We start from the raw sequence: 26,963 nt of genomic DNA on the forward strand, positions 1-26,963 counted from the left end.
TGGCACATGCCTGTAATCCCAGCTACTCAGGAGGCTGAGGCCGGAGAATCACTTGAATCCAGGAGGCAGAGGTTGCGGTGAGCTGAGATTGCTCCAATGCACTCCAGCCTGAGCAACAAGAGTGAAACTCTGACTCAAAAAAAAAAAAAAAAAAAGTAAAACACGTCCCTGAAGTACAAGAAATTAATATCAAACCCAAAGTACATTAGTCAATCTTGGAAATATCCAGTTTGATTATGAACATTGTGCCTCAATTCTCTAGATAGTGTTTCATTGTGGCTTTGCTTTGAAAGTATAGGCTGGTCCTCTGATAAGTCACCACCACTGATTCCTTTACAGATAAAGACATGCAAGACTAGGTTACTGGAATTCCCTATGTCTCTCTCTCTCATGCTCTCTCTCTCATGCTCTCTCTCTCTGTCTCTGTCTCTCTCTCTGTCTCTCTCTCTCTCCAGGCCTACAGAAGCTTGAAGTACCCTCCCACCCCCAGCCTCCACCTGCCCACACAGATCTGGAGGCACCCAAGAACATATGACCCCAATCGCATTCATGTGACACCTTTGTTCACCGCCAAATTCACTTGAGAGGGGAAAAAAATACCTCAACCAGGAAATACATCTTTTACAGCTATTTCATCCTCCCCTCACGTGGCGCTGGAATATCGTTTTAAAGAACATTCTTGTGGTATTTCCAGATCTTTTCCTTTAGGACTGCAAACAGGAGTAGCCCATCCAAGGGGAAACTGCTCCCCAGCAGAGCCGTTCTTCAAAGGGGACTTCTTCAGGCAGGAAAAGGGAACGTCTGATACTGGAGCTGAATAAACAGACTCATCAAGCTGAGTGCCAGATTGGAAATCCAGGCGCTGGAGCATGAGGCCCGCCAGCCGCACACCTCATGCATGCTATGGCTCTGTCTCTCTCCTCTCTTTCCTTCTCTCTCTCTCTTTTTTCTTCCATTCTGTAATCTTCTTCACTCGAGTGACTTAGTGATCCTGGGTATACACCCATCGTTTTTCACAACTATTAACTGACTAATCTAATAGGCTCCAGAAGTTTCAAAACCCATTTTTGAATCACAGACTCTTCTACCATCTCCACTCATGCAGTTCACTCTGTCTCTCAACACTCACATCTCCCCACAGCCAATAACCTTCCTCAGAAAGTAGCTCCTTTTAGATCAGGGCAGATTATTCATACACACAATGTTTCAAACCCTGGATACCTGGCTAGTAGAATCCTAGAGCTTGATGGAAACTCCAAAGATTTTTTTTTTTTTCAGGAAAAACTACAAATTTGTAATCTCAGAAAGATCATAGTCTACCCTGGACCTTGAAAGAGTTCATCCCCATTTACAGGTTGGTTCAGTGGCTCACAGTCTATAGTAGAAGTGCTTCCAACTAATTAACCTAAGTTTTTACTACAATTAGTTATTCTACTTGAATAGCTGCTCACACATGAAATTCCAAGCCACAGGTCATAGCAGGCTTAAGCTTAGAAACTGGAATTTATCTTTTCCATACTGGAAAATTTCAGTTTTTTCTTTTAAATTTTAAACAATTATACCAGTAAATGTTGCAATTATTCAGATAATCTGGACATTTATTTTAGTTGTTATCTATACCAGCAATCCCCAACCTTTTTGGCACCAGGGACTGGTTTCGTGGAAGACTGTTTTTCCACAGACCGGGGTGGGGGGATGGTTTCAGGATGATTCAAGCACATTAGAGTTATTGTGCACTTTATTATTATTACATTGTAATATATAATGAAATAATTATACAACTCACCATAATGTAGAATCAGTGGGAGCCCTGAGCTTGTTTTCCTGCAACTAGACGGTCCCATCTGGAGATGATGGGAGACAGTGATAATCATCAGGCGTTAGCTTCTCATAAGGAGCATGCAACTTAGATTCCTCACATACACAGTTCATGAAAGGGTTTGAGCACCTATGAGAATCTAATGCCACCACTGATCTGACAGGAGGCAGAGCTTAGGTGGTAATGCCAGTGATGGGGAACGGCTGAAAATACAGATGAAGCTTTACTTGCTGGCCCGCCACTCACCACTTGCTGTGTGGCCCAGATCCTACCAGATCACAGACCAGGGGTTGGGGACCCCTGTTCTATATTATACATATATCCATACATACTCACATAGACAAACACAATTCCCTGTGGATTTCCCACCTCACAATTTCAGTCCCATTAGAATTTTTTTTCAAATATCCAAAAAAGGCCGAGGGTCTCACTTTTACCACTTTGTTCTTAATGTCTAAACCCTTTTCTAAATATTTCCTTGAGGAAAAATTGTTGGATGATAAATGTCTCGGGGAAAGTTTGTAAAACTCTATAGCAACTAATTTAAAAATGAGAAGTCAGCTGTGTAATTTACTTAGTTTCTATCCATAATTGGCTGCTGGCTCATTCATTATCATCCTTTTGACTATCCTATATAAAATGCCCCTTTAATGGGGCTTATAAACCTAAGTTCCTACAGAAACAACAATAACAAAGAGTCAAAATGAAAAGAATGGTTAAGTAAATATCTGGTCAGTAAGGATCACTGAGCTCCAAAGCATTTTAATTTTTTCCCCATAATAAATGCTTAACCTCAACAATTCAGTCGTATCCCACTCTCTTGTCAATATTTATACATAGAAATTTATCTTTTAAAACACAAGTTGAGCCCCACACTGTGATTCACATTTTCAGAATGCTTGTTTATTCAGAATATTTTTTAGTAATTGCTGTGGAGTAATCATAAGGACAATCCAGTTGTCCTTGTTGTCATTAACCAGCAACAACAAATGTCCCGAGTAACCATGAATTTATAAATTTATTTTAATACTTCCTTAGAGCTGTGTGTGTCTATCTTTGGAGAAAGAGGAAAAACTCTAACTCAGCCACCCAGAGGCTGTCTGACAAACAATACCTGGGTATTTGGCAATAATTCATCAACAAATATATTTTTCATTTTAAATGATTTTTATATAGGCATTATCATCAAATAATTGCCTGTCAAAGTAAGAAGAATAAAGGTCACTGACTCTTTTTAGTCATGAGGACTCTAAAATGCACCTCCTCTCCATTTGACGTGAATAGATTAGGTTCTCCATTGTGCAACCATCGGCACAAACATCACCTTAGACATGCAAAAGGGACAAGGTGGGAGACGTTCATTTAAGTTACCTTTGCCCAGGTTTTATTTGTTCTGCAGATAAAAAACTTTGGACTTCTTTACCCAACCAGTCATCTTGCACAAACAGTAAACTCCCTCAAAACTTTCTGTTCCCATGGGACCCTTGAGAAAACAAAATGAAAAAAAAAAAAAAAAGCATGATTGAAATCTACTTTCTTCGGTCAACATCCTAACATTGAGCAATTTCTTCACATCTTAAAAGGGACTGTCCTGGCGTCAGATTAAGAGTTAGTGAACTCCCTATTGATCAAATAACTGGAACTAGTAGTAACCAGAGTCAGAATTCCGAGATTACAAACACTTGTTCCGTAATCATTTCCCGTTCCTCCCCATAGCATCATGAAGCCCTTATTCATGTTCAATTCACCTTTGGAAAGCAATGGTTTCTAAATTTTTAGATCACATGTGGTAAAAATTTTTGAACATGTCCATCCTATGTATTCTCATTTATAAATTACATATGTATTACTCTATTCTATGCATCAAAAACACATGCACCAAAAAAATCTAAATTTAAGATGAAATAAAACATTGAAATAAATAGAAGGTTAAATATCTTCTTTCTGCACACCAATGGATCATTTTGAAATCTTCATGAGTTATAGATACCCTAAATCTGAGCCCCCTGCTTTAAGAAATGCAGTGAGCTGTCATTCTCCCAAATCCAATCACCACTTTGGCCTAATCAAAAACCTGTTTTCAAGAAAATATCTGCTAGTAGTCAATATCATCATCTGTGAATAAGGACCCATCATTATAATGAGGCTTCCAGGAGTATCTGCATTTTAAGTATATGTCTAATTATGAGAAGAAAGCTTTATTTTGTTTTCATGTGATGTCAGGGATGCCAAAATAATTCACGATATTTGGAGGATTGAAAATGTTTCCTGGTGGCCCTGATCTTGGACAAGTTGGGAAGCTCCTCATCAATGTACATACCTGCATATACAGTGGCAGCAGCAAAGTTAGTAAATACAAAGGTTTAAGCAAACTTAGTAAACAAAAAGGTTTTAAGAACAGCAAATTGGTTAGAAAAGGTAAGGTTAACATGTTGGGTAGGAAATTTTTCTGAGTTGATGAGTTAGATAAAGACTTTCATTAATTCAATTAAAAAATCATTTTTGTCCCAAATAATCAATCACAAGCACTTGCTTAGCTCAAGTACTTACATTTTTCATGAATTTATGAAAACAATTTTCCCAGGGGAAAAGATGAGCAATACTCTAGCTTATTTTCATCTTAGTGGATATGAAGTTGAAAATTTTTTTTTAAAGTCTGAATTATCCATCAGACATATGCGTTGATCCAATTCACCAGGTAACTGCAAAATAGCCTACTTGACTCTAACTTATGAAAACAAAAGGAAAGTGGAGTGGAAAGAGCTGATCAGCTGTTGAGAAGTGTTTCTTATGTATGTTTGGGTACATATACTACACATGCATCTATATATGTAAACACATACATGTAAATTTGTATGTATAGAGAAGCTCCTGCCATTCAGTTTACCATCTAGTTGGGCAAATCACATGCCCATGAAAAATTATGAAGTGATATATCAGCAAGCACAAAATAATATAGCATAAAACATATCGAACAAGTATGTGCTGGCAGAAAAAAGAGTGGGATATAATTAAAATCTGATTATTATAAATTTCCAGGGAAAAACGGGGGGCAAATATTTCAGAAAAATAAATTGGCGTGATGAATGAAAAGAAGTTTAATGTAGCAAATCACACCCTGGGGAAACGGGTTTCACTAATGTGAGAAAAGGACCCATACGGATGAAGTATGAGCTATGAAATTAAAGTTATGGATTGATAAAGGACAATTGGTATGGCAAGCCAAATTTTAGTTTTGCTTGAAACATCCAGGTAAGTAAGGCAACATTCATATTGTTGTTGTTGTTTTGCTTAAAATATCCCATAATTTCTTTTTATGCTGTGTAAGACAACATAAAGATACCAACATAAGAAGGCACAACATAATACTAACCTCATGTCGGGAACTTGACATGTGTGCACAAGAATTGTGCATGCTCTTGGACCTGTTCAAGCTTTGACCTTTGTTTCTGAAATGTCAAGGTATCTCTTGTGTCATCATGAGCCTCCTCCCCCAGCCCCTCATAGTTGTACCACTGAATGGACATAACCTATGCCAGAAACGATAAGACCTGAGATTTGCTGAACACCACCAATTCTTCTGTCAACATTCCTGTCCTGAAATCTCCTTTTACTTAACAAACCTAGATCACTTTCTGTTTATGGCACAAGAGAGAAGAAAGTGGAGGCAAATAATCAATTACTTCTCTCCAAAAGATAATTCTTAGGAAGGAAACTGATACCACCTGTCTAGTTTATCATGCACTGTCTGGGTTCACTTTTTCTTTGTCATTGTCACAAGCTGCTCCACCTGCATACCACCCAAACTGCTAACAAGAATGGAAGCTCATCCGGGGCAAAATCTGACTTTTCAATTTATTTTATATTCCCTGTTATGAGTCAACGAATTCAGTTTCAGCCCCCATGCACATCAGGAACTCAACATGCTTGTTAAGCAAGAGGTGAACACCCCAGTTTTGCTCAGACTGTGTTTTAAAGAATGCATTAAAAAAAGAATTCATGAATGAATCAGCTCATCAAGGTGATCATCAAGTTACAGATCACATACCCACAAATTTCATTCAGTTTGGTTATTGAAAAAGTCAAAATGACCAAACCACAAGTGACCAGAATAGATGTTTTGCACATTTCATAACTAAATAGACTTAATATTGAAATGTATTGCACAGAGTTGGTCGTGAAAACTGTCAAGTCAAAGCTAATTAAACTAGATTTTAACCTCCACAAACCAAGGGGATTGTGCCCATTTTGTCAACATGTTGTACCAGCACATAGCATAGTGTCTGCCACACAGTGGGTGCTTGTGGCAGCTTCTCATTAAGATGAACACATCAATTCTTTCCCTAGTTGAATACACAAATTATTCCCCTCTTGTGAGACCGAATCTATTTGTCCAACTACTGGATCCTGGGTTCCCCCATGATTGCTTTGGCATATACAAGAGGGAAGAAGTGATCTGTATGACTTGCAAGGTTAGGTTTAAGAATTTTTGCAACTTCCACCTGGATTTCTTAGAACACTTGCTTTGAGGAAATCTGTCACAAGAGAAAAGCCTGATTACCAAGAGACCAAAAAGCTTTGCTAACCATGTGGAGAGAGGGAGAGAGAGAGATTCCTGACTAGCCCAATGCCAGACATATGAGTGAAGAAACCTTTAGATGGCTCCAGTCTCAGCTACAATCTGACTACAACCAAACGAGAGACAAGAACTGCCCACCGGAGTCCATCAGTCCCAAGAACCATGAGTGATAGTAATAAATTGTTTCCTTAAGTCACTAGATTTAGGGTAGCTTATTACACAACAATAGATAACTGAAACAGTGTTCAATATTTATTGAATAAGTAAATGGATTGATAAAAGAAAGCCACTTAGAATAAAGGGTTCCCAAATGAACCCAGTGAAATCCATTAAATAAATTATTTAGGTGATGTCAACAACAGTAAAGACTATCAGAAAATTAGACAACTCTGTGGGTAATTAAGGCCAAGAGGAAATCTGCTACAGAATAGAGAAAGTAATTTTTTTGAGAGTGGAATTTTCCAAATTCACTAACCATCTTGACCGTATTCATTAGATGATTGCTCAGTGCCCTACTTCCCTTTCCACAAAGTAAACTCACGATTGCATTTCAGCCATGATCCTAGGGACAAAGGAGAAGAAAACATATTAACCAAGAAGGAACGTGGGGAACCAGAGAAAACAGACTTTGGGGAGCCTGATCTTTCTATGAAGACTCTCACTCTTCTCTCTCTTCCTTTAATTTTGTAGAATAGACTTTGAGCTAGATAACACTGTGTAAAGCAACTAAATATAGCCAGAGATCAGGGTGGGTGGGAATGGAAACAAGAGGCTAAATGTTGGACACTAGCAGCTCTTACCTCATCACATCCCCCATAATTGTGCCATTATGTGCACAGAGCTCTTTAGCTGGATATGGTCACCATTTCATAATGATAAGAAGATCAATTAATGACATGATCCACATCTTTCATTGTTTTGATGGTTGCCAATAAGTCTGAGTCACTCTACCATCATTCTTACCACAAGCACAATTGTTTTTCTTTCATTTTTCTTTTTTTTTTTTTTTTTTTTTGGTGAGGAAAATAAATATCAAGAGGATGTATTTAATCTTCCTTGGAGTTTTAACTTTGTGCCTTTTCAGATGAAACCACATCAGGGTCTGGTCCTCTCTTTTCTGAGTATCCATTTCTTATGGCAGAATAAGTCCTTCTTAGTGCACAAACCCACCCTACCTCCTTCTCAATTACAGAATACTCCCCACCCTGCCCCAACATGAATTCACAAACTCCCCATTCCCAAAGTGATTCCAATTTTGTCAGAGCCCAAAGGCTGTGTTCAAAAGAGGTGCTCTTGCAATCACTGGAAGATGGAAGGGGAAAAGACATTTTTCAGTAGCCACAGGCAGGTTTGTAGGCATTGGCAGAAGGCACATGGAATAAAATATAGAGGCTCTTTGACTAACTCTACGCAATCAACTTCACGATGCAGTTTAAAACAAAAAAGACATGACTGAAGGTCTCTATGGACCCAATAAACCAACCATCACCAAATCTTTTTTATTTGTCTGTACAAACAGGATCCAGAGTAAGCTCAAGGTCACCTGTTGGGCAAGCAGCCCTTCATGGTCACTCTGAGCAGGCTAGGGAGCAAAATAGCTTAAGCTGGGGCAGCATCTAGGGCAGTCATTAAGGAGAATTATCAGATTTGATGGACAAAGTTCTTGAAATCTAGCTTCAACACATGGGAAAGTCTTATTTTCTATTGAATCTATTATCATTTTATTCAAATCAATTCAAAATGATTTATTGTCTGGTATTGTCTGGCACTGGGGATGGAGAATTGTAAGATCTATTCTCAAGGAGCTTTCCAGAGTGATGGGTTATGGAAGTATGACACCTGAATTTCCCATAAGAAGGATAAGGACCATGTGTGCCAGGCATTGTTTTGTTGAGACTCAGTAAGTACCATCTCTGACCCTAAGGTCCTCCCATATTACAAGGACTGAAAGCCTGGAAACTACATTTCCTAAGCTCTCTTGCCCATGGAGTTCTTGGTATAATCTTCCATTGAGAGGTGCTCTTGCAATCACTGGAAAATGGAAGAGAAAAAGACATTTTTCAGTAGCTACAGGCGGGTTTGTGACACACTGGCAGATAGCAGACATGGGGCTATGTGTCAGCTTCTGAGCATCCTTCTGAGAATCATCCACTTCAGTGCTGTAGACAGCTAAGACCATTGGTGACAACTTGGCTTCCCAGGGATTCCAACACTTCATACTTCCTGGAAGTTGACCTTCACTCCCAGCCCTCCCAATGATTTCATAAAACCTCTAATTCCATATATTGTATTCCTTCCTAATGAACTAAAATACTTAGAGAATATTAGTCAGAATGGGATAGATGTATTTCAGTAATAAATACCCTCCCCCCAAACTCTGAATAGTATAACAAGATAAGGTTATTCTTTGTTCAGGACATAGGCTGATTGGCTTCATCTTGTACCTAAGATCTCTGTGGAAGAGGAAGACAGTACATAGAGAAAGCCCATAAACCCTCTTCACTGCTAGAATAAAGTTGATACAGTACTTCTCACATTCCATTAGAAACAAAACAAAACAAAACAAAACAAAAAAACTGGTCTCAAGGCCCCAATTAAATTGTAAGGAAGGGTGAGACTATGGTCTTCCTCTGTGCCCAGAGGGAGGAAATGGTATGATGAGCACATTGCATCTTATCAGACTTCTATTTCTTTAATTAAATCTGATGGTTATATTTGATACTAAATACTGTGTCCTGTAACAAAATTGTAAAATATGTGATATAGACTTCATAGTCAAGTAGTGTTTCTAGAAACAGATATAATAGACTGGATGGCTGGAGATCCATATCATGGAGTGGAAAAACACTTGGCAATATTATTGCCTTTGGTACCCTGAAAGACCACATGACTCTTGAGCTTGTAGGTGAAAAATAACATGTGTTGGTTGCTATTGACTGCTTTTAGGAACACAGTAAAACAATAAGAGGCTATCAGGAAATAATTAACTGGTTTTTGAGCAAAGATAAAAAGAACAAGCATCTACTTCTAGAGCTCCCTTTTGATATCAACTTCTGTATTAGTCAGGGTAAGTAATGCTCACTGCCATAACAAACAATCCCCAAAAGCTCAATGGCTTAACATCTAAAAGTTTATTTCTCACTCACAAAAAGTCTAATGTGGATATTCCTCTGAAAAGAGATTCAGGGATCCCGATTTCTTTCATGTTATGGTTCTACATCTTCTAGCATCAGGGTTATCCTGGCATTATCCAGCCAGAAGATGAAGAAAGGGAAAGGAGAGAGAGAGAGAGAGAGAGAGACTGAGAGAGAGAGAGAGAGAGATTGTCTCTCTGGCTGAGCAATTGCTTCCTAGAAGGAATTCTACACTGTGGAAGGAGAGGCGGATGAATCTTCATTGGTCAGCTAGCCATTTCTGCATTGGACTCCGAAGTTTTCTTTTTGTTTCTTTTTTGCTGCCATGTAATTTATTTTCCCCACTTTAATAGTACAGCTTCCTCCTGTTCTTTCCAACTTCTCTTCCTTTTTCTTTTGACATGCACTTTCCCTTTCATCTCTTATTTGAGCTTGCTTTTCTCTTTTATTTTACTGCTAATAATAATTAACCATAGCGTCCTACTCTCTACTCTGAGTAATTTCTAAGCATGAGGTTGAGAGAAAAAGATGGGGCTGTCATCTAGTGGGAGGAAGTTACTTTAGCACTTTTTCCTGCAACTCAAATAGCATCTGATTCTGACTGTTAGGAGTGATAGGCATTGGAAGGAAGACGTCAAAACAAATCTATATGGCAAATAAGATATTTGCAAGACTGTTGATTTTTTTATGCTTCCTTGATCCAAGTTCTTCAGTTTTTCAGGTTTCATGCTGGCTTTGGGGTAAAAGTTTCCAGTGTTTAGTTATTTTCTCTTTATTCAATTATTAATAGGGACCACTCATTACTGCTGGATGAGAATGGCAAATGTGACTGAAATCATTTTCAACTCTTTAATAACACAATTATAATATTTAGACAGTTTTCTTTCATTTACAGATGTAACTCCTATCCATTTTTAGTTTGGGGAAAGAAATATACATTTTTTTAAATGTGAGATTTGAGTATTTTATCATATGCAAATACCACATCCCCCATAAGAAGCAACCAGCACAAGTAACTATTTCTTCCCTACAAGCTACTTTGCTCTACACTTTACTTTTTGGTTTAGGACAGAAGAATAAGGCTTTAGTTCCTACCCTTTCAAACAATTCCCCGCGTCGAGTCCAGGATCAGTCTGCTCAGAAATTTGAGTTTTCCAAAATGGAGGTTCTTCAAATAATTAAAAATAGACCTTCAATATAATCCAGCAATTCCTCTACTGGTATATATCCAAGAAAATAAAATCAACATCTCAAAGAGGTATCTACACTCCCATGTTCATTACAACATTATTCACAATGACCAGGATATAGAAAAAAACTAATTGCCTGTTGACAGATAAATAAATTCTGTGATATTTACACATATATATACATACGTATATATGCATATATATACGTATGTGTATATATATATTGGAATACTATTTAGCCTTTAAGAGGAAGGAAATCCTGTCATTTATGACAACATAGATGAACTTGGAGGACATTATGTTAAATGAAATAAGCCAAGCACAGAAAGAATATTAGATGATCTCACTTACATGGGGAATCTAAAAGAGTTGAATTCATAGAGGCAGAGAGTAGAGTAGGGGCTCTCAGGGACAAAGGGGTAAGGGAAATGGAGAGATGTTGGTCAAAAGATACAAAGTTTCAGTTATGCAGGATGAACAAGTTCTAGAGACCTAATGTATAACACTGGGACTGTAGTTTATAATACTGTATTGTATACTTGAAATTTGCTAAGAGAGTAGGTCTTAAGTGTTCTCACCACACACAAATAAGGTAACTATGTGAAGACATGCATATATTAATTATCTTGATTTTTAAATCAACTCACTATGTATATGTATATCAAAACCTCACACTGTGCATCTTAAAAATATATGATTTCAATTTTTAAAAAGAAATTTGAGTTTTCTAACTTGAATTAAAATCTATGCTGAGCAAGACTCAACCCTTTCAATTCCACTTCATTATTTGGCAAAGGGTCCTAGTAAAGTCACAGCATCCAGCATCTTTCTATTTCTGTGGATTTTTTCCTCTTTTCTGGTGGAATATTGACATGACACTAGAGCCCTGGAAACTTGACAAGCTTCTAGAAGCACTTTTGAGTATAAGAGCACTGTTTTGTATATTCGGGGCAGCAAAAATCATACCAATACATAATATTCTTTATAATCTTTATATGCTTGCCAGACATTGTGCAAGTATTGTCCCATTTAATCCTCTTGAAGTGTTAAGAGGCAACTATTATTATCATCCTTTTTTAAAATTTTTTTTATTATACTTTAAGTTCTGGGATACATGTGCAGAACGTGTAGGTTTGTTACATAGGTATACACATGCCAGGTGGTTTGCTGCACCCATCAACCTGTCATCTACATTAGGTATTTGTCCTGATGCTCTCCCTCCCCTAGACCTCCACCCCCTGACAGGCCCCGGTGTGTGATATTCCCCTCCCTGTGTCCATGTGTTCTCTTTGTTCAACTCCCATTTATGAGTGAGAACATGCGGTGTTTCGTTTTCTGTTCTTGCCTTAGTTTGCTGAGAATGATGTTTTCCAGCTTCATCCATGTCCCTGCAAAGGACATGAATTCATCCTTATTTATGGCTGCATAGTATTCCATGCTGTGTATGTGCCACATTTTCTTTATCCAGGTGTTCATTGATGGGCATTTGGATTGGTTCCAAGTCTTTGCTATTGTGAACAGTGCTGCAAGGAACATACGTGTGCATGTGTTTTTATAGTAGGATGATTTATAATCCTTCTTATTTTATAGATTAAGAAACTGAGGCTTAGAGAAAGTAAGTCAAGAAGATACAGCTCTTAAATATTGCTTTAAGAACTTCAACTTGACTCTATTTGACTAGAAACCCTGTAACTTAACCACTCTTATTACCAGTCTATTTCCATAAAAATGACCCAAAGATGATGGGAGTTGGACAAAGTCAATTAGCAGAAAAGAAAAAAAATTGCAAATTCTTGTGGAAATGAATCATAGCAATAATAATTACCAACATTTCTTGAGCACTTACTGTATGCCAGGCACTGTTCTAAAGCCTTTGGCTGGACTAACTCATGGAATCCTCACAATGACCCTAAGAGATAAGTGCTATTATCTTTTTTTTTCTTTCAGATAAAACTGAGGCACAGAGAAATTAAGTTACAGGATCACACAACTAGCCATTAGCAGGATGTAAAGTAATTGAAATAACAGCATCATGAACCTATTTGCTACCCATGGAGATAAAAATGGACAAACTGGAAGTATAACTATTGTAAGTTCTTCAGCATGGCTTACCTTCTGTGATCTGCTTACATGGTCAGAACCATCCTTAGGTAACAAGCTTACAAAGCTCTGGCCCAACCTCTGTCCTCATCTGAATGTAGGAAGCTTTGGATGATGTCTGCGTATCCTCAGAACAGTCTCCTAACCATTCCTCTCTCAACCAGACCCGGAGGCATCCAGTGCCAAGGAGCTCTTCTGTCCTATTGAAAGCAGAGAATGGTTCTCTCTGAAATAAGTACAAAGAGCAAGCAAATTTAGTCAGTTTATGCAAAACACAAAATGGCATCTGCCATCTGGAAAAACACACTAAAGCCGTGAGCCGTCAAGCCCCTTTCAAGACTTTGGCATGTAAAATCAACATTTTTTTTTTAAGTCTGAAAGGTCCATGTGAACTTCCAGCTTCATTAAATGTAATTCACCCTCACCACCCCTCCGATTCCTGTTGTTGACATCCACTCACCCATCACACATAGTTCCCCATTTAAAAAAAGTAGATAGGTAAGTAGATAGATAGATAGACAGAGTTTTTTACTAAGTGGTGAAAAGGTCTCTGAGAGATGGGCTTACCAACAGAGGATTTTTAAAGAAGATAATAAAGAAATATCCTTCATAATTACCTTCTTTTTCACATTCAAAATGGTTTAAACAAATAAACTTGCCTTTGTGTTGCCTATATATACTTGGAACCTAGTTTGTCACTGACATTCCAGAGGCCCAAGATTGTGGGTTGATGCTGCTGGTGTCTCTGTGATCACGAACTCCTGATCTTGCCTCCATCTGCACTAACCTCAAGGAGTTCAAGACAGATGAGAACAGGAAGGGCTACTTAGGTTTTGCCTTAGTGCCAGGCTGGGTAAGCAGGGCATCCAGGCAGAAATATGTCCAGCAGACAGGAACAAAAATAAGGTAAGATGCTGTCAATGCTTCCTTAAGAGTTATGTTTAAATGGGTAGGAATTGAGACCTGAAAAGTCACTGATGCAGTGTCAGGGGAAGGCTGATCAAACCAAATGCACTGAGAAGGAACAGAATCACCACTGAGAATGAAGTTATCCATGGTCTTCAAATCAAGGAGGCTGGGGCACAGTCAGAATCAGCGAACAAGACAAGAACACTGGACCAAAACATAAGGAACAGTAGCTAATGTGCAATAAGGGATTCCCATGGCCTAGCTACTTTACATCCGTTAGATCATTGAGTGTCACAAAAATTATAAGAGGAAAGTACTGTGCATATGAGAAAACTGGAGGCCAGAGAGGTTAGGTCAGACTGCGAGAGGAGGTGTTTAGATTTAAATACAGATAGTCTGTTTTCAGAATCTATCCCTATAACCACCACATTTTACTGCCCAGCATATGTATGTACAGCCCAGACTAGAAAGATATAGACCATAGGCTGTTTTCTCCTGGTGATAGAATAACAGGTGACTTTTATTTTCTCCAATGTATTACTCTGTATTTCCACATTCTCTATTTTATAATCAGAACTTTTCAAAGGTTACTGGGATAAGAAACTAAAACTTGCTTAATGGAAAAAAGAACCTGAAACTTGATGAATGAAGACAACGTGGTTTTCTTAGGAGCAGAAAACCATATAAGGCCAGAGGTTGGTGTCAGGATCTGAATAGTACCTAGGATTGGTCCTGGTGCTGTTCAGATCGGAGTCTGCTGCTGTCTCTTTCCATGTCAATCCCATTCCAAGGCAGAGGATCTGTTCCCCAGGTCAGATCATTGGGAGTAGGGGAGGGATTGTGGGGGGCCAGGATGAGGAACGATTCATTTATCCAGGGCTGATCTGATCGGAGCATCAGATTCTCCACTTCTTTTATTAGTCAGCACAATCTATCTATGTGTATTTGACTGTGACTGGCTCATTCCATCATCCTCTGCTACAACATTTAGAAGTGCCTGGTGACACTTGCATCAAAACGACTAGTCCTTTGACCATTTCTTTCCCTTTCAGATTCAGGGAGATGTGCTGAAGTCTTCCAGAAGTCAGTATGCTGCTATAATAGAAACAGATATGAGTTTGGAATCCACCAGACCTCACTTAAAACCTTAGCTCTGTCGCTTATCAGCTGTGTGACTGTGGACAATTTATTTAATCTCTTTGGTCCTCAGTTTCCTCATCTGTAAAATGCAAGATGCTAGGAGGATTGGATTGGCACTATAAATTGTTGTTGCTATTATTATTATCAGCAACAGTAATAACATTAGATACTATCCCCCATGAGTTACAGCAGAAGACCCATTCCTGCCACTCCTGGATGGTTGCCAAGTTGCTGCAGAAAAGATGTGACAATGGACTCCAATATATTATTGAAGTGACATTCTCCAACTCCAGGGCCCGAGGAGCTTGCTGCTATCACAGAAGCTCCTTTAGGCCAGTCTTTTGAGTGTCACTTACACCAGTTTGGAAGTAATCTGCTTGCTCGCCCTTCCAGCAAAGGATGTCATGATCAGCTAATGGAAAGTGACAAGAAGGGATATAATGAATGAGAGGGAGTTAAAGTTTGGGATAAAAAAAGAGCCTTGTTCTTTTGGGGAATGCACAATGCTAAGCATACCATGTTAAATCGTGCGTGTCAAATAATGGACTAATTAAGAATCTTCATCCATTTTTTTCACATCTCATTTTTGTTGTCCTTTCAAAGATGTATTTTCAAATTAGCTCTTAGCTCTTTAAATAAGTACCAACAGGAAATAAAAAGACACCTTGTCTATCAGAGAAGCAAATGATAAACTGAAAAGAAAATACATGGGAAAGAAGATGGAGGTTTTGTGGGAAATGATGAGAAGTTTTTATCATCATAGCAGCAACTTCTTGAATAATGGAATTTAATAACATATAATAAACTATGATCCAGGAGAACTCTGATTCAATCCCACTAATTGTTTGAGCCAGTGAAAGGAAGGCAAAGTTTACCATGCCAACACGCTGCTAATGCCACTAAACACTGCAGGGAACAGACAATTGTTCCCAGCTGCCTACCTCCTCACACAGAGGGGGCACATGGTCCCTGCCCCAAACACCGAGCTGAATCTCCAACTTTCAATGACAATCCTAGTTCTAGGACTTTAAAGTCATAGAAATGTAATTTTTGCAATCAACAAACTATTGTATTAAGCAGAGAATGGAGGGGTAACTAGATACAAAGCCCCCAATTAGATTATAAAGAATAATAACCAATATGCTTTCATGCTAATGCCAAAAAGTACAAAAACCTATTATAAATTTAATTGAGCACATGATCATAAGCACTGTTTTTCTACTTACATAGTTTTGCTGTATTAAGGTAGACTACAAATAAAGAAACACTTTTTTTTTCATTGTTATTGAAAAGGGTGCTTTTTTTTCTTTTCACTTTGGATCATTTGACCAATGTCAAAAAATGGGAAGGTATAATTAAGAAAACAATTATTTTTTCCTGTCTTTACTTAGTTTATATTTAAGTACAAAAATCAAGAAAAAGAATTGAGTCAATTATTTGGATAATTCAGGTCTCTCCTAAAAGTTGAGGTTTCTAATGAAAATATATTATTTTTGCCTGAATTATTCAGATAATGCCCTTAGTTTTCTACTTTATTTTATAGGTGTGGGTCTGTCTATTGATAAAAAAAAAGTCCTTTGTAATAATCTTAAATGATTCTTTAGGTTTTTATAACAATTAAATATATAGGGGTTTTGGTACATAAATCTTATATACCTCAGGAATAAACCATCTAAAATTCTACAGAACATTTTGCAAAGCAGCTATTTAAATTACTAAACCAAAATAACAACAACAACAACAACAAAAAACAAGAGTAAGTATTAACTTTTCTCTCCCAAAAGAGTTCATGAAACCTTAATGATTACATTTGGCGGTAGAAGGAGGAGTGAAATACCTTTGTAAACTGATAGCCTAAAAACAGGAAAATTAGTATTGTGCCACGGCTATGAGCAGCTAATAAAGAGAACATGGTTAAAAGAGATTAAGGTTCAAATTAAGGTCAGAAAAGAGACTGATTGAGGAAAACTGCCATGTTCCATTGCATGGCAGTTTAAGCGAGACAGTTTCCCCCTGAATCAGCCTTAGGTTGAAAAATTACACTGTTGGGGTTAATAAAGAGGCTGGGCATTTGTTTGGACTGAGACTTCAATTAAAATGTTATTTGGGGTAGCCAGAGTTAATGTCTTGCTTAGAGGTAAACTGAACTGCCTTTTAAGAGGATGAAAAAAAAAAAGGAGATGAAGAAGAATAAAAAAGACCACCTAATCTGTCAAAGACCCTGAATAACTGGCAGAAAGAATTGTGTTTGCTGGACCTGTGCCCAACTCAGCAGTAAGCATTCTTAAAGGTTTTGTGACATCATCTGAGGCAGCTGAGGTTTTCTGAGTTTTTGATTGTTGCACTGGGTGAAGAATCTAGTGTTCAGCTGAGCCTTTTTGAGACAAAGAAAAAAATCTGGTTGGTATAATATGCCAAGTTTGGGCTATTTTTTTTAATGCCACAAAAGGGGTGGGACCAAGAATTCTGGGTCTTAGTCTCATGACTCCTCCCCAAAGACAAAAATTGATGGATACAGTTAATTGAATTTCTCAGTCCATACCAATTTGCCCACAGTTAGACAAAAGCCACCAAAGTTTGCTTTCATTTCACTTCTTTAGGGTGAAATAAGTTCCTCTTCCTCTACATTCACTCCTATATTCCATAGAGATTCATTCAGCATGTTTACTCTGGCCAGCATCAAGCATATTTTGGTCAACAAAACACACACATTTCCCAAATTGTATAGGGCTTATACTTTGAGGAAAGGAGGAGCTGCTGATAAGTTATATATATATTTACAAACTGCTAACATTAAAAAGAAACAACGTGGTGATGGAGATAGATTCCAATTCTTTTCAGTATTTTTCTTAACCAATCCCACGAGCAGCAACCTGAAGACCTCATTACAACGGCATGGGGTGGCTAAGGCAGCTGGTTAATGGCAGATACAAAATAGGTGATTTTCTGTTGGGGAGTTGAATTTGGGATCTGGTCATGGAGATAAAGAGAATCAACAGAAAGAGAGGTGGGACAGCCCCAAATAGTGTGGATAAGAATGAAAATTAACTTAAGAATATGGAGGTGATGGGCTTTTTTTTGCCCAAAGAGTGATACAACAGAGCAATGGACTGATAGCTATAGAAGTGCCAAACCAGAAAAGGTCTCTGGGCTAGGGAAAGAGACTATCTCATCGAAGAAGCAGGACCAGATAACAGCACACAGAGGGGTGCTAGGGTCCAGAGAAGAGGAAAAGAACCATTCTTGTCCCTTGTTTCCCTCATGCTGTTCAGTTTTCTAACAAAGTCTAGAAAACGAACACCGTTTGGCTTGATCTCCATTCCAATTGGCCCCAAGTCCAGTTTTTTATTCCACTAAAGAAGATGTTTATGAAAGCATAAGTCCCCTTCTCCCAATTTCACCAAAATTAAAAAAAAAATTTGCTAATCAAAGACATTTAATCTTCAGAATATTCTTGAAGAAGATAAACTTGGTTGAAAGAACAGTGGCAGGCAGTGCCTTAAGCTACTCTGGAGGCTGAGGCAGGAGAATCACTTGAACCCGGGAGACGGAGGTTGCAGTGAGCCAAGACCATGCCACTGCACTCCAGCCTGGGTGACAGAGCAAGACAAGACTCCATCTGAAAAAAAAAAAAAAAAAAAAAACACCACTCCACACAGAGCACACAGAGGCATAATGCAAAATGGGAACGATAACACTTTGAAAACAAAATGCCAATAATGAGATCATTGCAAAGGGAACAGGGAACCAGCAAGCTGAGAAGTAACACAACGTCCACGACTGCTACGTCTGTCCAAGTGGTGGCAAAATCTGCCAGGCCCAGATTGACTTCATTAGTCATTTAGAAGCACATAGATCACAGAAAAAATTCGCCTCCTCCTCACTGAGAAATAATTGATCATCAGTATAAATAGAAAGGAATTAGAACACCAATTCTTTAAAGCATAAATATTTCATTCACCAACCAGTTGTGATTTTGCCCATGGCAATTAAGAAAATATGCAATATTACCACTGGACAGGTGTGAATGCAATCAACTTTAGCAGAGAATCGAGGTGGATAATTCATATTAGATACAGAATTAATGCACAGACTACATTTTCCCAGATGTAATTAAGGAACTTGGGGAGAAAGAAGCACAATTATATAATCCAGTTAGCCCTATTCACATCTCTTTTACTCCTTCAGGTCTACTGGCACCAATGTGATTCTCACTCAGCAAATATTTGTCAGGCACTTTCCAGATACAGGGCACCGTGCTAGGTAATGGGAATTCTACACAGAACAACCTTCTCTCTGAACATCCTCAACTCATCTTCAGTCCTCTCTGTGCCCTTACCCAGCTTGGCTTTTCTCCAAAGTATTTATCACTACCTAACATCATATCATATCTGTATTTGTTTTTTATTCATTGCATCACTTACTAAAATACTAGTTCCATGAAGCAGGGACTTTGACTGTCTTCCTGTGTGGTGTACCCAACATTTAGGCCACATTAAGAGCTCGAAGAATGCTGTTGAATAAATAAGGCTTATGTCCAAAGAGACTATTCATTTCCATTAGAGAAAGTAGAATAAAATAAAACTATAGTTATGAGCATGTATAATTAGGGTTTCTAACCTAGGAAATGAGGGAGGTCTTTCCTGAACAAATGGCTTTTAAGTTGGACCCTGAATAATGAGGAAGAGCTTGTCTAGAGAGGGGGTTAGGAGGCCTTTCAAGGAGAGGCACCAGCATGTATAATGGTATTTGTGGGGTTGAAATAAAGGGGAAAAGACCAGTGATGTGGAATCATGGTGAGGAAAGGGGGAGTCAAGAGATGAGGCAGAAGCCATGGACAAGAGCCAGATTATCCAAAATCTTGTAGGACACGTTCAAAATTGTAGACTTACTCCAAGAGCAATATGGAGAGTTTTAAGCAGTGATATGACCAAAGTTCTTAATTCATGAATCTCTCTGCCAAGCACAAAAGGAAGCATTTTCATGTAAGCATTCTGAAATTGGGCATGAGAAGCTGCTGGAATATTTCAGAACATACAGAAGTAGAAAAACTTAACCATATTTATTGAGTATCAGCCAGAAGCACCTGATTATAATAGGCAATGTGGGGAGGGTGGTGACCACAAAAAGTTGGCAGCCTTTGTTCCTGAAGAGAATGTAGTCTAGCCAGCCCACTACCAAAAGGCAATACACACCCATGGAAAAGTTAGAGGAAACCAAGAAACCACAGATGAACTGACTCACTGTCTCTTTCCTGACTGCCTGAAGGCCATTACTGCCACAAAAGGCCCTTCCTAGTGTGGCAGGACACTTTGCTGCCTCTGCCTCCACCAGGCCTCTCCTGGTTTTCTGAATTCCAGCAGCAAGAGGCCACCCCAGGCCCCCCAAACATGGGACAGATATCCCCCATGCCATTGCACGAGCTGCCCGTCACTCTATCCCTCTTCACGCTCACGGTTGGTCTCCTGCCCAGGACCTAGGAGAACATGACACGTGCCAGGTGCCCAAAAAGTATTTGTTGAATAAATCTTAGGGATTGAGCTAAAATGTCACCCTTATTCCACCTTTCTAGTACACACTTCCTGAGTGCCTGCTTTGTGCTAGGCACAGTGTTGAGGCCTTTCCATGCATTCTCATTTCATCTTCACAACAATCTCATAAGGCAGATATTGTTACTATCCCCCATGTACAGACAAGACAAGCAAACTAAGGCTCAGAGAGGTACAGGGGCTTGCTTAAGAGTTCTCTTACCTTGCAACAGGGACATAAACCCACTTCTGCTCCTCTCCTAAGCCCCCAGTGTGACTAATTACTTGCTTATGTTCACCTCCTTCTTGAAGGCTTCACTGATACACCAAACTACCATGAAGACAAGCCTCCGGACTCCTAAAGTATTTTGTGCCAATGTGTGTCCATAGCCATCCTACCTAATTTCTTCCTGGCACTGTTAGTGTCTCTGGTGGGTCTTGGTATCATCAGTGTTGAGTACAGTATTTGGCCCTTGGTAGAAGTGTAAATTAATATTTTTCAAAGAATAAGTGAATAAAGAAATCAGCTCAAGGCAATCTAATATAAACTCTAAATGTGCCCTTTAAGAAAACTAATAAAGAAAACTTTTTTTTTAGACAGTCTCCCTCTGTGGCCCAGGCTGGAGTGCAGTGGCTGGAGTGCAGTGGCATGATCTCAGCTCACTGCAACCTCTGCCTCCCAAGTTCAAGCAATTCTTCTGCTTCAGCCTCCTGAGTAGCTGGGACTATAGGTGTGCACCACTACGCCAGGCTAATTTTTTTGTATTTTTAGTAGAGACAGGGTTTTACCATGTTGGCCAGGCTGGTCTCGAACTCCTGGCCTCAAGTGACCCACCCACCTCAGCCTCCCAAAGTGCTGGGATTACATATTATAGACGAAAACATTACAAGATTACATATACAAAGAAAATATACTATACATGAATCCAACAGATAGAGTATGATCATGCCCATTAACAAGAATTCTAGAGTCCTTATCCTTTCCCTTATCTCCACCCATTACAGTGTTCCTTTAAAGAATGGTTTATCTGGTAAATTGAATATTTGTTTTATTTTCAAAATTAAAGATGCCAAATTGTACCATTGCATAAAGGGAGAAAAGGGAATCATGAAGACATTTATAAGACTATTCATGAGTCATGGGTCTATGCACAAGCCTAGAGGACATGCAGTTGAGGAGCATGTAGGAAAGAAACTGTTCACTGCCAACTGTTCTCCTAAGAAGAATATGAGAGGTAATGCTTTTTAAACTTGAAATATACTTCTCGGGAATATGTAACACAGACATACAAAAGGTGAAATACTACAAACTAACCACTCTACAGAAATTGTCATCTCCCAGATGAGATTACTACACTAGACACAACATGTTTATTGGCTCACAAAAGACATGTCACCTAACAATTCATAGTAGGGAGTCTGAGGAAAATAACTCACCCATTGTGAAGTCAATGTTCAGATCAATATCCCTTGGGGAGAAAAATATTGCTCATTGATAGAGATTGATTTTTCTTTTCCTTAAGAAAACTCCTGAGGGGTAAACAATATTCTTTTTTTCATAGTGAATGTAACTAAACAAGGCAATGTCAAGGTCTACATTTTCCTAGCCTCATTAGCATGATACTCAAAAATCATGAGTGTAATTATACATGCCTTTTGACCTACTGAAAAATAGATACCAGTTCAATTTTTTTAAATTTCTTTTTAATATCCAAGCAATGGGACTTCAAAGACAACTTGATGTATGTTCTCTGCTTTACTAAACAGCACTATTATAAGTGAGATGCTTTTTGGTACTTTAAGACAATTTTAAAAATTATGTATAAACTAAAAAAAACTGGATCTTATATTTTTTAACCTATGAATTTTGAAAATGTTCTTCCTGCCTTCACCTTACTTTTCCACTCCCATTTGTGCCCCTAAACAATTAAAAAGCATACAGAAGCCTTGGATCTTACATTTTCCAAAGGCCTTCACAAAAGCAAGATGTTTTCATGGGCAGATGGAAAAGAAGGCTGAATGAATTCATTTTATATTTAGCATGTTGGTTCAGACTGGTGAATATTTAGATTTATTTACAAGTCTACAGTAGATTATAGTGTTCAATACATAGACTGTCTTCTTAGGCCACATGTGTGACCAAAAGAAATCTTGCCTTCTACCCTTTGAAACTCAAAAGTTGCATAAGAAAGGACAGATGGATGATTTGGGGAAAAAAGAAATGTCATTCAATTAATGTTTGTTGAAAAGGGTGTCACAGATCATTGGCAGAATTTCCACTCATTGGCAACTCCCCGAAGCAGCCAAAGATTAATTGAACACCCAGACTACTGGGTTCTATGAGGAGAGGAGAACAACAGTGTGTTGGTGATTACAGAGGCTGAGATGTGGAACCAACAGAAGTATAGCTGAATGAACCATCTTCCACATGCAGGAAGAGTGCCCCCACAGCCAAACGATCTTTGTTCTTTAGTCCTGGGATAGAGATGGATTCATATCATACCACACTCTTGTACTCTATTTCTCTTTCTAAAAGAATGTCTTTTTCAAGTGATTTAAACATAAGATTAGGAGCAAAGTTCATTGATTGTCATAGGGTCATGACCTACAACTTGACCTTAGGAAACACTTAAACCACACTGATTATACAGATTTTTCTCATCTAATGGTATAATATCTATAACTACATGCATCTGGTAACATACTAAATGCTGTCTAGAACAACAAAGCAAAGCAAACCAAAAGCCCACAATTTAAATTAAAAAAAAAAAAAGATCTAAGCCCACCTTCGTAAACATGTGCTTCTGTAAGAAGTTAAAAAAAAAAAAAAAGAAAGAAAAGGAAAAGAAAAAAGATCCACCAGAAGTACCAAAATCAAATATTTATTAGTCTTTTAATTTTCTACTTATTTGAAATTCAAAAATAATTTTCATGCTTTGATAGGAATGTGCGGTTGTTTATCATTTCAAAAGCACTTCTCCTTTTATCACGAATCGAAGAAGAACTAACATTGAGAAACAAGGAACCAGAATATTTAGAGATGCTGGGAATAAACTACAAACTAACATGGTCAAGGGAGAGAAAATATGATCCTCTCAGAAGAATAATGTAACAACAATCAGAGCACATCTGGGATTTGATTCAAACCAACCTGGAACCAGATTGGATCTCCAAGCTGTTCTGTGTATACACACACACACACACACACACACACACAGACACACACGCTGAGATTTCCAAAAGTGAAATTTCCAGAAGTTATCCTACAGAGTTAACCCCAGAAAGGACTTCACTGGCAGACACAGGCATAACTTTACTCCTTTTGTGATGACCCATGAGTGGGGTCTATGGCAGTCTGAATAGATGGGCCTTTCTGTTGAAAGATTCTGCCTAATCCTTCCCACCAAAGCAGGGTTCTAAAGGTGTCAGCAGGATTTGGCTGACTGGATCGTTAATGGAGCTATGGTTAATTATTGACTGATTAGGGATTTACCTTATCTTTCCGTCAGGAGCTGGCTCAAGACTTAACGGTAAGCAATTTAGAGCCAGGGTGAACCTACACACATGCCTTTTTCTTCTTTTCCTTTGGGTCACTTTAGCTTGCCCCTCCCCATAATTCACATTCAGGACAGAATGGCCAGTCCTTACAAGGCGTGGGAGTCCTCAAGAGCACCGAAAATGAGAGGGGCCAGGTCCACGTGACAAGTGTCCAGAGACAGAGGCTTAGAGAAATGTGCCTTTTGCAAAACAGTGTTTATGTGTAAAGGTTTTCCAGTTAAGTCCCTGGGAGAAAAAAAAAAAAAAGCACTTGCTTTTTGTCTCTAAAAGGTCTGGTGATGCCCGTGGGTGAGAATCCACCCCGCACTCCCCAAGGCCCCTTGGCAAAGCCAGGGAATGAGTACAGGCAGCTCAGGCCCAGCTGCCCCAGATAAGAGGTGGCCCGTGTTAATGCACAGGCTTCCTCTGCACCTCAGCAGGGCCTTCCTTTTCTAAACAGTCTCCCTTTAATGTTGGCGAATGTTGTTTTTCCATTGACTCAACATCTCGCCTGGTGGTAAGCCAGTGAGGAAAGTTGCAGCGGGGGAGGGGGAAAGTGGGAGAGAGTGATGCCAAAGCAAAAGAGCGGGACGGTCAGCCAGGTTTCCAAACAAGCTAGACACCTGCTTTGGAAAGACAGTGACCAAGCCTAGACTTCTGGCTTCCTCTTCACTTTGATCAGCCTTTTGTTCCCTGCGGGTCTGTGATGGGCTCCCTGCCCCTCCCCTCACCACTGCCCCCTTCACTGGGAGCTACTTCAACTTAGAAACCATCAAAAATTCATAGCTTTTCTCTATGAATGTAACTGTCTTATCTGAAGAAAAGGGAAAACAGTTATTGGAATGCATGAAAGAAGAGAAAGGAATTCTAAGGAAGAGAAGATGGAAGGAAAGTAAGTGAGAAGAGGAAAATTGGAGAGAAAAATAAAGAAAGGGGAAAAGAGAATAGAGGAATAGAAATTAAAGGCAAAAAGAAAAGAATAAAAGGATAGAACAAAAAATAAAGAAAAGGGAGGAGGGCAAAGGAGAAGGACGGCAGAAAAGTGAAATCCAAAAAGGGAGCTTTTCTCCCAGAAGCTCAGTTTCTCAAGCCACAGGACCGTTCCGGGGCTGAGTATGAAGAACAAGGGCTTCTCTGGGCTACCCCAGGTCAAGGGGCATTTTCAAAACCAAATCTTGATTAGAGCCAGCTAAATGTTTTGACTTGAAGGAGACACTGAGGATTATAAAGCAAAATAGAGCAGCATGAGTAAGAAAGAAACAGGAAAAGAAAGAAAATTTTTTTACAAAAACTCATGGGGACACAAAGGGAATGATAGAAAACACTTCTGAATCAGCTAGTCATCTACTAACAAGCTGTAAAGATCTCCAATGACAAGTTGTCACATTAGTTTAGTGAAACTGAAGCAGTACTTATCCCCTTTCCTGTGCTTAATCTCTCCCTGCGTGCCACAAAAACATGCTACCACGTTTAATAGGATTAGTTTCGTTCACTTTCTCCCCCCACCCCTTTTATTTTTTACAATTCTATTTTCAGCAATACAGGGATCCTTGAATTCATCGACTTCCTGTGGTGCACAGTAAACCTGGCATACATGATTTTTACCCTTTAAATACTTTATTTTGAATGTGAAAAATGTAATTTATTTCCTATCTTCCCCCCAATAGCCATAGCTTGGGGTGTGGGGGCAGGTGTTGATGGTAAAAGGGTCAAGACAAAAACAGGGTTATGGAAAAGGGCTGACACAGCCCAATCCCTGCAGAAGCTACTGCCCTAAGCGAAATTGCTCTAGCTCAGACTACAGGCAGACCCGGATTCCAATTCTGGCTGTGCCACTTACTGGCCTTGCGGCCTTGAGCAAGTGGTGAAGCCTTCCCCAGTCTCAGTTCCCTCATTCAAACATGGCGATAATTCATCTCTTGGCTGTTGGGAGAATTACGCATACTATACTTTATTTCCTCACTTCTAAGATTCACTTTTTCTCATATCTTATGTTCCTAAAATCAGTGTCTCACAATCCATTGTGCATTTAAGATCCTCGTATTTTCCTTTTCTCCTAAAGGCCATCTTTAAATGGTGTGTCTTATAATCTACGACATTTTGGAATCAAGAAACGGGAATTTTGGGGTGTAAAGCACCTGTCCCAGTCCTGAGGCGTAGCAGTGCTCAGCAAGTGCTGGGAGTATCCATCGCCGCCCATTTTCACTATGCCTGCTGACTCCTTGCCGCATTCCCACGGAAAGATCACTTTGGAATAGGAGAGAAGAAGGTGTTGACACTTTTGCCCCTCGTCCAGATCCTTCTAGACTAGAGTTTCTAATTGAGGTTTCCGAGATCTGCCTAAATCAAACACCGATCATAACTGCCCATATTGGGTCAGAACCAAAATCCTTCGGTCCACTCTGCTCCCTCAAAGGGTCACCAACTGTCGTGCTTAGCAGTGTCTTGCAAACAGTAATTATCCGATGAATTGAATTATTCTGTTTTCTTTGAGTCCACTTTGGGTTAAGCACCCCCTCCCGCTCTCCCCAGCACCGCCATCAGAAGATTAGCAATGGAGAGAGAAGGGGATGAACTCGCCTGATGGTGGTGGGAAAAGGACGGTGGGGCAGGGAACAGGGACCCAGAGGAGTGAAAGGAGCAGCAGGGCCTAGGGAGGGGACGGAGGAAGATGGAGCTGGGAGGAAGTAGGAAGCTAGCGTGAGGGGCGCTGTCGAGGCGCTGAAGGGGGGCACACACCGAGGCGCAGCCCGCACCCCCAGTAGGCTGAGAGGGCGCCGGGGACCCGCACTGAGAGTCAAGGCAGCCCCGCTTCCCTACCCATAGCGCCCCCCGGGAGATAGTCCGGGACGCAGGGCCCCCGAGGCTGCGGGTCCAAGTCTTTCAGCCAACCCGGGATTAGCGAGCCAGCCGCTTCAAAAGTCTAGGCGAGAGGAAGCCGAGACGCGTCGGCCTTCGCCGGGCTGGAGCCCCTGCCAGATTTAGCCTCCCGCCTGGCCTTTTCTCCGGCCTGCCCCTCCGCCCTTC

At 39.5% G+C, this 26,963-nt stretch overlaps 1 long non-coding RNA gene across 1 annotated transcript in view, besides 1 other annotated feature; it reads right to left on the reverse strand.

Annotated features, from left to right (window-relative positions):
- PROX1-AS1 (PROX1 antisense RNA 1) overlaps positions 1 to 26,963 on the reverse strand; it is a 166,513-nt gene that overhangs the window by 133,596 nt on the left and 5,954 nt on the right. The window contains exon 2 of the long non-coding RNA NR_037850.2: positions 12,835 to 13,048. This is a non-coding gene — a long non-coding RNA (PROX1 antisense RNA 1). The remainder of the gene's footprint in view (positions 1 to 12,834; positions 13,049 to 26,963) is intronic.
- Positions 7,830 to 8,124: a silencer, noted in NCBI's record as "tiled region #2902; K562 Repressive non-DNase unmatched - State 24:Quies". NCBI's record gives its function as "represses a minimal TATA promoter and a strong SV40 promoter by Sharpr-MPRA in K562 cells {active_cell/tissue: K562}" and the evidence as "EXISTENCE:reporter gene assay evidence [ECO:0000049][PMID:27701403]".

This window comes from Homo sapiens, chromosome 1 (genome assembly GCF_000001405.40).
Source record: "Homo sapiens chromosome 1, GRCh38.p14 Primary Assembly".
NCBI classification, from domain to species: domain Eukaryota; kingdom Metazoa; phylum Chordata; class Mammalia; order Primates; family Hominidae; genus Homo; species Homo sapiens.